Source organism: Homo sapiens, chromosome 1 (genome assembly GCF_000001405.40).
Source record: "Homo sapiens chromosome 1, GRCh38.p14 Primary Assembly".
Lineage (NCBI taxonomy): Eukaryota > Metazoa > Chordata > Mammalia > Primates > Hominidae > Homo > Homo sapiens.
In genome coordinates, this window is record NC_000001.11 from 121,630,634 (window position 1) to 121,644,162 (window position 13,529).

At 43.3% G+C, this 13,529-nt stretch overlaps 3 annotated features.

The window, feature by feature from the left end:
- Positions 6,755–7,450: an enhancer, noted in NCBI's record as "OCT4-NANOG-H3K4me1 hESC enhancer chr1:121379186-121379881 (GRCh37/hg19 assembly coordinates)". NCBI's record gives its function as "activates a minimal SCP1, AML or CMV promoter by ChIP-STARR-seq in naive H9 embryonic stem cells {active_cell/tissue: H9 hESC(naive)}" and the evidence as "EXISTENCE:reporter gene assay evidence [ECO:0000049][PMID:30033119]".
- Positions 9,115–9,872: an enhancer, noted in NCBI's record as "OCT4-NANOG hESC enhancer chr1:121381546-121382303 (GRCh37/hg19 assembly coordinates)". NCBI's record gives its function as "activates a minimal SCP1, AML or CMV promoter by ChIP-STARR-seq in primed H9 embryonic stem cells {active_cell/tissue: H9 hESC(primed)}" and the evidence as "EXISTENCE:reporter gene assay evidence [ECO:0000049][PMID:30033119]".
- Positions 12,428–13,075: an enhancer, noted in NCBI's record as "OCT4-NANOG hESC enhancer chr1:121384859-121385506 (GRCh37/hg19 assembly coordinates)". NCBI's record gives its function as "activates a minimal SCP1, AML or CMV promoter by ChIP-STARR-seq in primed H9 embryonic stem cells {active_cell/tissue: H9 hESC(primed)}" and the evidence as "EXISTENCE:reporter gene assay evidence [ECO:0000049][PMID:30033119]".

Genomic DNA, 13,529 nt, shown 5'->3' on the forward strand with positions numbered 1-13,529 from the left:
AACATCACAAGGAAGTTCCTGAGCATGCTTCCGTTTAGCTTTTACGGGAAGATTATCCCTTTTCCATAGAAATGTTCAAAGAGGTCCACATATCCGCTTGCAGATTCCACCGAAAGAGTGTTTCCAAAGTGCTGCATCAAAAGGAATCCTCAGCTCCGTGAGTTGAATGCAATCATCACCAAGAAGTTTCTGACAATGCTTCTCTCTAGTTTTTATGTGAAGATATTTCCTTTTCCACCGAAGGCCTGAAAGCGCTCCAAATGTCCACTTGGAGGCTCTACGAAAAGAATGTTTCAAAACTGCTCTATGAAGAGCAATGTTATACTCTGGGAGTTGAACACAAGTCTCACAAAGGAGTTTCTGAGAATGCTTCTGTTTACTTTTTACGTGAGGATATTCCCGTCTCCAAAGAAGTCTTCACAGAGTTCCACCTATCCATTTGCAGATGCCAGCAAAACTAGAGAGTTTCAAAACTGCTCTATCAAAAGGAATGTTCAACTCTGTGAGTTGCGTGCAATCATCACAGAGAAGTTTCTGAGAAGGCTTCTGTCTAGATTTTATGTGAAGATATAGCCGTTTCGAACGAAGGCCACAAAGTGCTCCAAATATCCACTTGCAGGTCCTCCAAAAAGAGTGTTTCAAACGTGAACTACCAAAGGAAGGCTCAACTCGGGACTTTGAAGGCCAACGTCAGAAGGATGTTTCTGCGGAAGCTTCTGTTTAGTTAGGTGACGTTATCCCGTTTCCAACGAAATCCTCAGAGAGGTCCAAATATCCACTTGCAGAGTCTACAAAAAGTGTGTTTCAAAACTGCTCCACCCAAAGGAAGGTTCAGCTCTGTGAGTTGAACTCAATCATCCCAAAGTATTTTCTGAGAAGGCTTCTGTCCAGTTTTTACATGAAGCTGTTTCCTTTACTACCGTAGGCCTCAAAGCGTTGCAAACCTCCACTTGCAGATACTACGAAAAGAGCGTTTCAACCTGAACTCAGAAGGGAAGGTTCAACTCTGTCAGTTGAATGCCAACGTCACCAAGAACTTCTGAGAATGTTCCTCTTCAGTTATGTGAGGTTTATCCCGTTTCCAACGAAATTCTCAGAGAAGTCCCAAAATCCACTTGCATATTCTACAAAAGGTGTGTCTTGAAAATGCGCCATCAAAATATATGCTCCGCTCTGTGAGTTAAACTCAATCATCGCAAAGAATTTTCTGAGAATGCTTCTGTCTTGTTTTTAGATGAAGTTCTTTCCTTTACTACGATAGGCCTCAAAGAGGTCTAAATCTCCACTTGCAGATTCTGCAGAAGGAGTGTTTCAAACCTGAACTGTCAGAGAAAGGTTCAACACTGTGAGTTGAATGCAAGCATCACGAAGAAGGTTCTGAGAATGCTTCTGTTTATGTAGGTGAGTTTTCTCCCGTATCCAACGAAATCCTCAGAGCGGTCCAAATCTCCACTTGCAGATTCTACAAAAAGTGTGTTTGGAAACTGCTCCATCCAAAGGAATGTTCAGCTCTGTGAGTTGAACTCAATCGTCACAAAGTGTTTCCTGGGAATGCTCCTGTTTCGCTTTTATGTGCAGTTATATCCTCTACTGCCATAGGCCCCAAAGCGGTCCAAATCTCCCCTTTCAGATTCTACCAGAAGTGTGTTTCCAAACGGCTCCATCAAAAGGAATGTTCAACTCTGTGACTTGAATGCAATCATCACAAAGCAGCTTCTGAGAATGCTTCCATGTAGCTTTGATGAGAAGATATTTCCTTTTCCACCCCAGGCCTCGAAGCCCTCCAAATGTCCCCTTGCAGATGCTAGAAAGAGGGGGTTTCAAAGCTGCTCTATCAGAAGGAAAGTACAACTCTGTGAGTTGAATGCAAACATCACAAGGAAGTTCCTGAGCATGCTTCCGTTTAGCTTTTACGGGAAGATTATCCCTTTTCCATCGAAATGGTCAAAGAGGTCCACATATCCGCTTGCAGATTCCACCGAAAGAGTGTTTGCAAACTGCTGCATTAAAGGGAATCCTCAGCTCCGTGAGTTGAATGCAATCATCACCAAGAAGTTTCTGACAATGCTTCTCTCTAGTTTTTATGTGAAGATATTTCCTTTTCCACCGCAGGCCTGAAAGCGCTCCAAATGTCCACTTGGAGGCTCTACGAAAAGAATGTTTCAAAACTGCTCTATGAGGAGCAATGTTATACTCTGGGAGTTGAACACAAGCCTCACAAAGGAGTTTCTGAGAATGCTTGTGTTTACTTTTTACGTGAGGATATTCCCGTTTCCAAAGAAGTCTTCACAGAGTTCCACCTATCCATTTGCAGATGCTAGCAAAAGAGAGTTTCAAAACTGCTCCATCAAAAGGAATGTTCAACTCTGTGAGTTGCATGCAATCATCACAGAGAAGTTTCTGAGAAGGCTTCTGTCTAGATTTTATGTGAAGATATAGCCATTTCGAACGAAGGCCCCAAAGTGCTCCAAATATCCACTTGCAGGTCCTCCAAAAAGAGTGTTTCAAACGTGAACTACCAAAGGAAGGCTCAACTCGGGACTTTGAAGGCCAACGTCAGAAGGATGTTTCTGCGGAAGCTTCTGTTTAGTTAGGTGACGTTATCCCGTTTCCAACGAAATCCTCAGAGAGGTCCAAATATCCACCTGCAGAGTCTACAAAAAGTGTGTTTCAAAACTGCTCCACCCAAAGGAAGGTTCAGCTCTGTGAGTTGAACTCAATCATCCCAAAGTATTTTCTGAGAAGGCTTCTGTCCAGTTTTTACATGAAGCTGTTTCCTTTACTACCGTAGGCCTCAAAGCGTTCCAAACCTCCACTTGCAGATACTACGAAAAGAGCGTTTCAACCTGAACTCACAAGGGAAGGTTCAACTCTGTCAGTTGAATGCCAACGTCACCAAGAAGTTCTGAGAATGTTCCTCTTCAGTTATGTGAGGTTTATCCCGTTTCCAACGAAATTCTCAGAGAAGTCCCAAAATCCACTTGCATATTCTACAAAAGGTTTGTCTTGAAAATGCGCCATCAAAAGATATGCTCAGCTCTGTGAGTTAAACTCAATCATCGCAAAGTATTTTCTGAGAATGCTTCTGTCTTGTTTTTAGATGAAGTTCTTTCCTTTACTACGATAGGCCTCAAAGAGGTCCAAATCTCCACTTGCAGATTCTGCAGAAGGAGTGTTTCAAACCTGAACTGTCAGAGAAAGGTTCAACACTGTGAGTTGAATGCAAGCATCACGAAGAAGGTTCTGAGAATGCTTCTGTTTACGTAGGTGAGTTTTCTCCCGTATCCAACGAAATCCTCAGAGCGGTCCAAATCTCCACTTGCAGATTCTACACAAAGTGTGTTTGGAAACTGCTCCATCCAAAGGAATGTTCAGCTCTGTGAGTTGAACTCAATCGTCACAAAGTGTTTCCTGGGAATGCTCCTGTCTCGCTTTTATGTGCAGTAATATCCTCTACTGCCATAGGCCTCAAAGCGGTCCAAATCTCCCCTTTCAGATTCTACCAAAAGTGTGTTTCCAAACGGCCCCATCAAAGAGGATGTTCAACTCGGTGACTTGAATGCAATCATCCCGAAGCAGCTTCTGAGAATGCTTCCATGTAGCTTTGATGAGAAGATATTTCCTTTTCCACCCCAGGCCTCGAAGCCCTCCAAATGTCCCCTTGCAGATGCTAGAAAGAGGGGGTTTCAAAGCTGCTCTATCAGAAGGAAAGTACAACTCTGTGAGTTGAATGCAAACATCACAAGGAAGTTCCTGAGCATGCTTCCGTTTAGCTTTTACGGGAAGATTATCCCTTTTCCATCGAAATGGTCAAAGAGGTCCACATATACGCTTGCAGATTCCACCGAAAGAGTGTTTCCAAACTGCTGCATCAAAAGGAATCCTCAGCTCCGTGAGTTGAATGCAATCATCACCAAGAAGTTTCTGACAATGCTTCTCTCTAGCTTTTATGTGAAGATATTTCCTTTTCCACCGCAGGCCTGAAAGCGCTCCAAATGTCCACTTGGAGGCTCTACTAAAAGAATGTTTCAAAACTGCTCTATGAAAAGCAATGTTATACTCTGGGAGTTGAACACAAGCCTCACAAAGGAGTTTCTGAGAATGCTTCTGTTTACTTTTTACGTGAGGATATTCCCGTTTCCAAAGAAGTCTTCACAGATTTCCACCTATCCATTTGCAGATGCCAGGAAAACTAGAGAGTTTCAAAACTGCTCTATCAAAAGGAATGTTCAACTCTGTGAGTTGCGTGCAATCGTCACAGAGAAGTTTCTGAGAAGGCTTCTGTCTAGATTTTATGTGAAGATATAGCCGTTTCGAACGAAGGCCACAATGTGCTCCAAATATCCACTTGCAGGTCCTCCAAAAAGAGTGTTTCAAACGTGAACTACCAAAGGAAGGCTCAACTCGGGACTTTGAAGGCCAACGTCAGAAGGATGTTTCTGCGGAAGCTTCTGTTTAGTTAGGTGACGTTATCCCTTCTGCAACGAAATCCTCAGAGAGGTCCAAATATCCACCTGCAGAGTCTACAAAAAGTGTGTTTCAAAACTGCTCCACCCAAAGGAATGTTCAGCTCTGTGAGTTGAACTCAATCATCCCAAAGTATTTTCTGAGAATGCTTCTGTCCAGTTTTTACATGAAGCTGTTTCCTTTACTACCGTAGGCCTCAAAGCGTTCCAAACCTCCACTTGCAGATACTACGAAAAGAGCGTTTCAACCTGAACTCACAAGGGAAGGTTCAACTCTGTCAGTTGAATGCCAACATCACCAAGAAGTTCTGAGAATGTTCCTCTTCAGTTATGTGAGGTTTATCCCGTTTCCCACGAAATTCTCAGAGAAGTCCCTAAATCCACTTGCATATTCCACAAAAGGTGTGTTTGGAAAATGCGCCATCAAAAGATATGCTCAGCTCTGTGAGTTAAACTCAATCATCGCAAAGAATTTTCTGAGAATGCTTCCGTCTTGTTTTTAGAGGAAGTTCTTTCCTTTACTACGACAGGCCTCAAAGAGGTCCAAATCTCCACTGGCAGATTCTGCAGAAGGAGTGTTTCAAACCTGAACTGTCAGAGAAAGGTTCAACACTGTGAGTTGAATGCAAGCATCACGAAGAAGGTTCTGAGAATGCTTCTGTTTACGTAGGTGACTTTTCTCCCGTATCCAGCGAAATCCTCAGAGCGGTCCAAATCTCCACTTGCAGATTCTACACAAAGTGTGTTTGGAAACTGCTCCACCCAAAGGAATGTTCAGCTCTGTGAGTTGAACTCAATCGTCACAAAGCGTTTCCTGGGAATGCTCCTGTCTCGCTTTTATGTGCAGTTATATCCTCTACTGCCATAGGCCTCAAAGCGGTCGATATCTCCCCTTTCAGATTCTACCAAAAGTGTGTTTCCAAACGGCCCCATCAAAGGGGATGTTCAACTCGGTGACTTGAATGCAATCATCACAAAGCAGCTTCTGAGAATGCTTCCATGTAGCTTTGATGAGAAGATATTTCCTTTTCCACCCCAGGCCTCGAAGCCCTCCAAATGTCCCCTTGCAGATGCTAGAAAGAGGGGGTTTCAAAGCTGCTCTATCAAAAGGAAAGTACAACTCTGCGAGTTGAATGCAAACATCACAAGGAAGTTCCTGAGCATGCTTCCGTTTAGCTTTTACGGGAAGATTATCCCTTTTCCATCGAAATGTTCAAAGAGGTCCACATATCCGCTTGCAGATTCCACCGAAAGAGTGTTTCCAAACTGCTGCATCAAAAGGAATCCTCAGCTCCGTGAGTTGAATGCAATCATCACCAAGAAGTTTCTGACAATGCTTCTCACTAGTTTTTATGTGAAGATATTTCCTTTTCCACCGCAGGCCTGAAAGCGCCCCAAATGTCCACTTGGAGGCTCTACGAAAAGAACGTTTTAAAACTGCTCTATGAAAAGCAATGTTATACTCTGGGAGTTGAACACAAGCCTCACAAAGGAGTTTCTGAGAATGCTTCTGTTTACTTTTTACGTGAGGATATTCCCGTTTCCAAAGAAGTTTTCACAGAGTTCCACCTATCCATTTGCAGATGCCAGCAAAACTAGAGAGTTTCAAAACTGCTCTATCAAAAGGAATGTTCAACTCTGTGAGATGCATGCAATCATCACAGAGAAGTTTCTGAGAATGCTTCTGTCTACATTTTATGTGAAGATATAGCCGTTTCGAACGAAGGCCACAAAGTGCTCCAAATATCCACTTGCAGGTCCTCCAAAAAGAGTGTTTCAAACGTGAACTACCAAAGGAAGGCTCAACTCGGGACTTTGAAGGCCAACGTCAGAAGGATGTTTCTGCGGAAGCTTCTGTTTAGTTAGGTGACGTTATCCCGTTTCCAACGAAATCCTCAGAGAGGTCCAAATATCCACCTGCAGAGTCTACAAAAAGTGTGTTTCAAAACTGCTCCACCCAAAGGAAGGTTCAGCTCTGTGAGTTGAACTCAATCATCCCAAAGTATTTTCTGAGAAGGCTTCTGTCCAGTTTTTACATGAAGCTGTTTCCTTTACTACCGTAGGCCTCAAAGCGTTCCAAACCTCCACTTGCAGATACTACGAAAAGAGCGTTTCAACCTGAACTCACAAGGGAAGGTTCAACTCTGTCAGTTGAATGCCAACATCACAAAGAAGTTCTGAGAATGTTCCTCTTCAGTTATGTGAGGTTTATCCCGTTTCCAACGAAATTCTCAGAGAAGTCCCAAAATCCACTTGCATATTCTACAAAAGGTGTGTCTTGAAAATGCGCCATCAAAAGATATGCTCAGCTCTGTGAGTTAAACTCAATCATCGCAAAGAATTGTCTGAGAATGCTTCTGTCTTGTTTTCAGATGAAGTTCTTTCCTTTACTACGATAGGCCTCAAAGAGGTCCAAATCTCCACTTGCAGATTCTGCAGAAGGAGTGTTTCAAACCTGAACTGTCAGAGAAAGGTTCAACACTGTGAATTGAATGCAAGCATCACGAAGAAGGTTCTGAGAATGCCTCTGTTTACGTACGTGAGTTTTCTCCCGTATCCAGGGAAATCCTCAGAGCGGTCCAAATCTCCACTTGCAGATTCTACACAAAGTGTGTTTGGAAACTGCTCCAACCAAAGGAATGTTCAGCTCTGTGAGTTGAACTCAATCGTCACAAAGTGTTTCCTGGGAATGCTCCTGTTTCGCTTTTATGTGCAGTTATATCCTCTGCTGCCATAGGCCTCAAAGCGGTCCAAATATCCCCTTTCAGATTCTACCAGAAGTGTGTTTCCAAACGGCTCCATCAAAGGGAATGTTCAACTCGGTGACTTGAAAGCAATCATCACAAAGCAGCTTCTGAGAATGCTTCCATGTAGCTTTGATGAGAAGATATTTCCTTTTCCACCCCAGGCCTCGAAGCCCTCCAAATGTCCCCTTGCAGATGCTAGAAAGAGGGGGTTTCAAAGCTGCTCTATCAGAAGGAAAGTACAACTCTGTGAGTTGAATGCAAACATCACAAGGAAGTTCCTGAGCATGCTTCCGTTTAGCTTTTAGGGGAAGATTATCCCTTTTCCATCGAAATGGTCAAAGAGGTCCACATATACGCTTGCAGATTCCACCGAAAGAGTGTTTCCAAACTGCTGCATCAAAAGGAATCCTCAGCTCCGTGAGTTGAATGCAATCATCACCAAGAAGTTTCTGACAATGCTTCTCTCTAGTTTTTATGTGAAGATATTTCCTTTTCCACCGCAGGCCTGAAAGCGCTCCAAATGTCCACTTGGAGGCTCTACGAAAAGAATGTTTCAAAACTGCTCTATGAAGAGCAATGTTATACTCTGGGAGTTGAACACAAGCCTCACAAAGGAGTTTCTGAGAATGCTTCTGTTTACTTTTTACGTGGGGATATTCCCGTTTCCAAAGAAGTCTTCACAGAGTTCCACCTATCCATTTGCAGATGCCAGCAAAACTAGAGAGTTTCAAAACTGCTCTATCAAAAGGAATGTTCAACTCTGTGAGTTGCATGCAATCATCACAGAGAAGTTTCTGAGAAGGCTTCTGTCTAGATTTTATGTGAAGATATAGCCGTTTCGAACGAAGGCCACAAAGTGCTCCAAATATCCACTTGCAGGTCCTCCAAAAAGAGTGTTTCAAACGTGAACTACCAAAGGAAGGCTCAACTCGGGACTTTGAAGGCCAACGTCAGAAGGATGTTTCTGCGGAAGCTTCTGTTTAGTTAGGTGACGTTATCCCGTTTCCAACGAAATCCTCAGAGAGGTCCAAATATCCACCTGCAGAGTCTACAAAAAGTGTGTTTCAAAACTGCTCCACCCAAAGGAAGGTTCAGATCTGTGAGTTGAACTCAATCATCCCAAAGTATTTTCTGAGAAGGCTTCTGTCCAGTTTTTACATGAAGCTGTTTCCTTTACTACCGTAGGCCTCAAAGCGTTCCAAACCTCCACTTGCAGATACTACGAAAAGAGCGTTTCAACCTGAACTCACAAGGGAAGGTTCAACTCTGTCAGTTGAATGCCAACGTTACCAAGAACTTCTGAGAATGTTCCTCTTCAGTTATGTGAGGTTTATCCCGTTTCCCACGAAATTCTCAGAGAAGTCCCTAAATCCACTTGCATATTCCACAAAAGGTGTGTTTGTAAAATGCGCCATCAAAAGATATGCTCAGCTCTGTGAGTTAAACTCAATCATCGCAAAGAATTTTCTGAGAATGCTTCCGTCTTGTTTTTAGATGAAGTTCTTTCCTTTACTACGACAGGCCTCAAAGAGGTCCAAATCTCCACTGGCAGATTCTGCAGAAGGAGTGTTTCAAACCTGAACTGTCAGAGAAAGGTTCAACACTGTGAGTTGAATGCAAGCATCACGAAGAAGGTTCTGAGAATGCTTCTGTTTACGTAGGAGACTTTTCTCCCGTATCCAGCGAAATCCTCAGAGCGGTCCAAATCTCCACTTGCAGATTCTACGCAAAGTGTGTTTGGAAACTGCTCCACCCAAAGGAATGTTCAGTTCTGTGAGTTGAACTCAATCGTCACAAAGCGTTTCCTGGGAATGCTCCTGTCTCGCTTTTATGTGCAGTTATATCCTCTACTGCCATAGGCCTCAAAGCGGTCGAAATCTCCCCTTTCAGATTCTACCAAAAGTGTGTTTCCTAACGGCCCCATCAAAGGAGATGTTCAACTCGGTGACTTGAAAGCAATCATCACAAAGCAGCTTCTGAGAATGCTTCCATGTAGCTTTGATGAGAAGATATTTCCTTTTCCACCCCAGGCCTCGAAGCCCTCCAAATGTCCCCTTGCAGATGCTAGAAAGAGGGGGTTTCAAAGCTGCTCTATCAAAAGGAAAGTACAACTCTGTGAGTTGAATGCAAACATCACAAGGAAGTTCCTGAGCATGCTTCCGTTTAGCTTTTACGGGAAGATTATCCCTTTTCCATCGAAATGGTCAAAGAGGTCCACATATCCGCTTGCAGATTCCACCGAAAGAGTGTTTCCAAACTGCTGCATCCAAAGGAATCCTCAGCTCCGTGAGTTGAATGCAATCATCACCAAGAAGTTTCTGACAATGCTTCTCTCTAGTTTTTATGTGAAGATATTTCCTTTTCCAACGCAGGCCTGAAAGTGACCCAAATGTCCACTTGGAGGCACTCCGAAAAGAATGTTTCAAAACTGCTCTATGAGAAGCAATGTTATACTCTGGGAGTTGAACACAAGCCTCACAAAGGAGTTTCTGAGAATGCTTCTGTTTACTTTTTACGTGAGGATATTCCCGTTTCCAAAGAAGTTTTCACAGAGTTCCACCTATCCATTTGCAGATGCCAGCAAAAGTAGAGAGTTTCAAAACTGCTCTATCAAAAGGAATGTTCAACTCTGTGAGTTGCGTGCAATCATCACAGAGAAGTTTCTGAGAAGTCTTCTGTCTAGATTTTATGTGAAGATATAGCCGTTTCGAACGAAGGCCACAAAGTGCTCCAAATATCCACTTGCAGGTCCTCCAAAAAGAGTGTTTCAAACGTGAACTACCAAAGGAAGGCTCAACTCGGGACTTTGAAGGCCAACGTCAGAAGGATGTTTCTGCGGAAGCTTCTGTTTAGTTAGGTGACGTTATCCCGTTTTCAACGAAATCCTCAGAGAGGTCCAAATATCCACCTGCAGAGTCTACAAAAAGTGTGTTTCAAAACTGCTCCACCCAAAGGAAGGTTCAGCTCTGTGAGTTGAACTCAATCATCCCAAAGTATTTTCTGAGAAGGCTTCTGTCCAGTTTTTACATGAAGCTGTTTCCTTTACTACCGTAGGCCTCAAAGCGTTCCAAACCTCCACTTGCAGATACTACGAAAAGAGCGTTTCTACCTGAACTCACAAGGGAAGGTTCAACTCTGTCAGTTGAATGCCAACGTCACCAAGAACTTCTGAGAATGTTCCTCTTCAGTTATGTGAGGTTTATCCCGTTTCCAACGAAATTCTCAGAGAAGTCCCAAAATCCACTTGCATATTCTACAAAAGGTTTGTCTTGAAAATGCGCCATCAAAAGATATGCTCAGCTCTGTGAGTTAAACTCAATCATCGCAAAGAATTTTCTGAGAATGCTTCTGTCTTGTTTTCAGATGAAGTTCTTTCCTTTACTACGATAGGCCTCAAAGAGGTCCAAATCTCCACTTGCAGATTCTGCAGAAGGAGTGTTTCAAACCTGAACTGTCAGAGAAAGGTTCAACACTGTGAATTGAATTCAAGCATCACGAAGAAGGTTCTGAGAATGCCTCTGTTTACGTAGGTGAGTTTTCTCCCGTATCCAGCGAAATCCTCAGAGCGGTCCAAATCTCCACTTGCAGATTCTACACAAAGTGTGTTTGGAAACTGCTCCAACCAAAGGAATATTCAGCTCTGTGAGTTGAACTCAATCGTCACAAAGTGTTTCCTGGGAATGCTCCTGTTTCGCTTTTATGTGCAGTTATATCCTCTGCTGCCATAGGCCTCAAAGCGGTCCAAATATCCCCTTTCAGATTCTACCAGAAGTGTGTTTCCAAACGGCTCCATCAAAGGGAATGTTCAACTCGGTGACTTGAAAGCAATCATCACAAAGCAGCTTCTGAGAATGCTTCCATGTAGCTTTGATGAGAAGATATTTCCTTTTCCACCCCAGGCCTCGAAGCCCTCCAAATGTCCCCTTGCAGATGCTAGAAAGAGGGGGTTTCAAAGCTGCTCTATCAGAAGGAAAGTACAACTCTGTGAGTTGAATGCAAACATCACAAGGAAGTTCCTGAGCATGCTTCCGTTTAGCTTTTACGGGAAGATTATCCCTTTTCCATCGAAATGTTCAAAGAGGTCCACATATCCGCTTGCAGATTCCACCGAAAGAGTGTTTCCAAACTGCTGCATCAAAAGGAATCCTCAGCTCCGTGAGTTGAATGCAATCATCACCAAGAAGTTTCTGACAATGCTTCTCTCTAGTTTTTATGTGAAGATATTTGCTTTTCCACCGCAGGCCTGAAAGCGCTCCAAATGTCCACTTGGAGGCTCTACGAAAAGAATGTTTCAAAACTGCTGTATGAAGAGCCAAGTTATACTCTGGGAGTTGAACACAAGCCTCACAAAGGAGTTTCTGAGAATGCTTCTGTTTACTTTTTACGTGAGGATATTCCCGTTTCCAAAGAAGTCTTCACAGAGTTCCACCTATCCATTTGCAGATGCCAGCAAAACTAGAGAGTTTCAAAACAGCTCTATCAAAAGGAATGTTCACCTCTGTGAGTTGCGTGCAATCATCACAGAGAAGTTTCTGAGAAGGCTTCTGTCTAGATTTTATGTGAAGATATAGCCGTTTCGAATGAAGGCCACAAAGTGCTCCAAATATCCACTTGCAGGTCCTCCAAAAAGAGTGTTTCAAACGTGAACTACCAAAGGAAGGCTCAACTCGGGACTTTGAAGGCCAACGTCAGAAGGATGTTTCTGCGGAAGCTTCTGTTTAGTTAGGTGACGTTATCCCGTTTCCAACGAAATCCTCAGAGAGGTCCAAATATCCACCTGCAGAGTCTACAAAAAGTGTGTTTCAAAACTGCTCCACCCAAAGGAAGGTTCAGCTCTGTGAGTTGAACTCAATCATCCCAAAGTATTTTCTGAGAAGGCTTCTGTCCAGTTTTTACATGAAGCTGTTTCCTTTACTACCGTAGGCCTCAAAGCGTTCCAAACCTCCACTTGCAGATACTACGAAAAGAGCGTTTCAACCTGAACTCACAAGGGAAGGTTCAACTCTGTCAGTTGAATGCCAACGTCACCAAGAACTTCTGAGAATGTTCCTCTTCAGTTATGTGAGGTTTATCCCGTTTCCAACGAAATTCTCAGAGAAGTCCCAAAATCCACTTGCATATTCTACAAAAGGTGTGTCTTGAAAATGCGCCATCAAAAGATATGCTCAGCTCTGTGAGTTAAACTCAATCATCGCAAAGAATTTTCTGAGAATGCTTCTGTCTTGTTTTTAGATGAAGTTCTTTCCTTTACTACGATAGGCCTCAAAGAGGTCCAAATCTCCACTTGCAGATTCTGCAGAAGGAGTGTTTCAAACCTGAACTGTCAGAGAAAGGTTCAACACTGTGAGTTGAATGCAAGCATCACGAAGAAGGTTCTGAGAATGCTTCTGTTTACGTAGGTGAGTTTTCTCCCGTATCCAACGAAATCCTCAGAGCGGTCCAAATCTCCACTTGCAGATTCTACACAAAGTGTGTTTGGAAACTGCTCCACCCAAAGGAATGTTCAGCTCTGTGAGTTGAACTCAATCGTCACAAAGCGTTTCCTGGGAATGCTCCTGTCTCGCTTTTATGTGCAGTTATATCCTCTACTGCCATAGGCCTCAAAGCGGTCGAAATCTCCCCTTTCAGATTCTACCAAAGGTGTGTTTCCAAACGGCCCCATCAAAGGGGATATTCAACTCGGTGACTTGAATGCAATCATCACAAAGCAGCTTCTGAGAATGCTTCCATGTAGCTTTGATGAGAAGATATTTCCTTTTCCACGCCAGGCCTCGAAGCCCTCCAAATGTCCCCTTGCAGATGCTAGAAAGAGGGGGTTTCAAAGCTGCTCTATCAAAAGGAAAGTACAACTCTGTGAGTTGAATGCAAACATCACAAGGAAGTTCCTGAGCATGCTTCCGTTTAGCTTTTACGGGAAGATTATCCCTTTTCCATCGAAATGTTCAAAGAGGTCCACATATCCGCTTGCAGATTCCACCGAAAGAGTGTTTCCAAACTGCTGCATCCAAAGGAATCCTCAGCTCCGTGAGTTGAATGCAATCATCACCAAGAAGTTTCTGACAATGCTTCTCTCTAGTTTTTATGTGAAGATATTTCCTTTTCCACCGCAGGCCTGAAAGCGCCCCAAATGTCCACTTGGAGGCTCTACGAAAAGAATGTTTCAAAACTGCTCTATGAAAAGCAATGTTATACTCTGGGAGTTGAACACAAGCCTCACAAAGGAGTTTCTGAGAATGCTTCTGTTTACTTTTTACGTGAGGATATTCCCGTTTCCAAAGAAGTCTTCACAGAGTTCCACCTATCCATTTGCAGATGC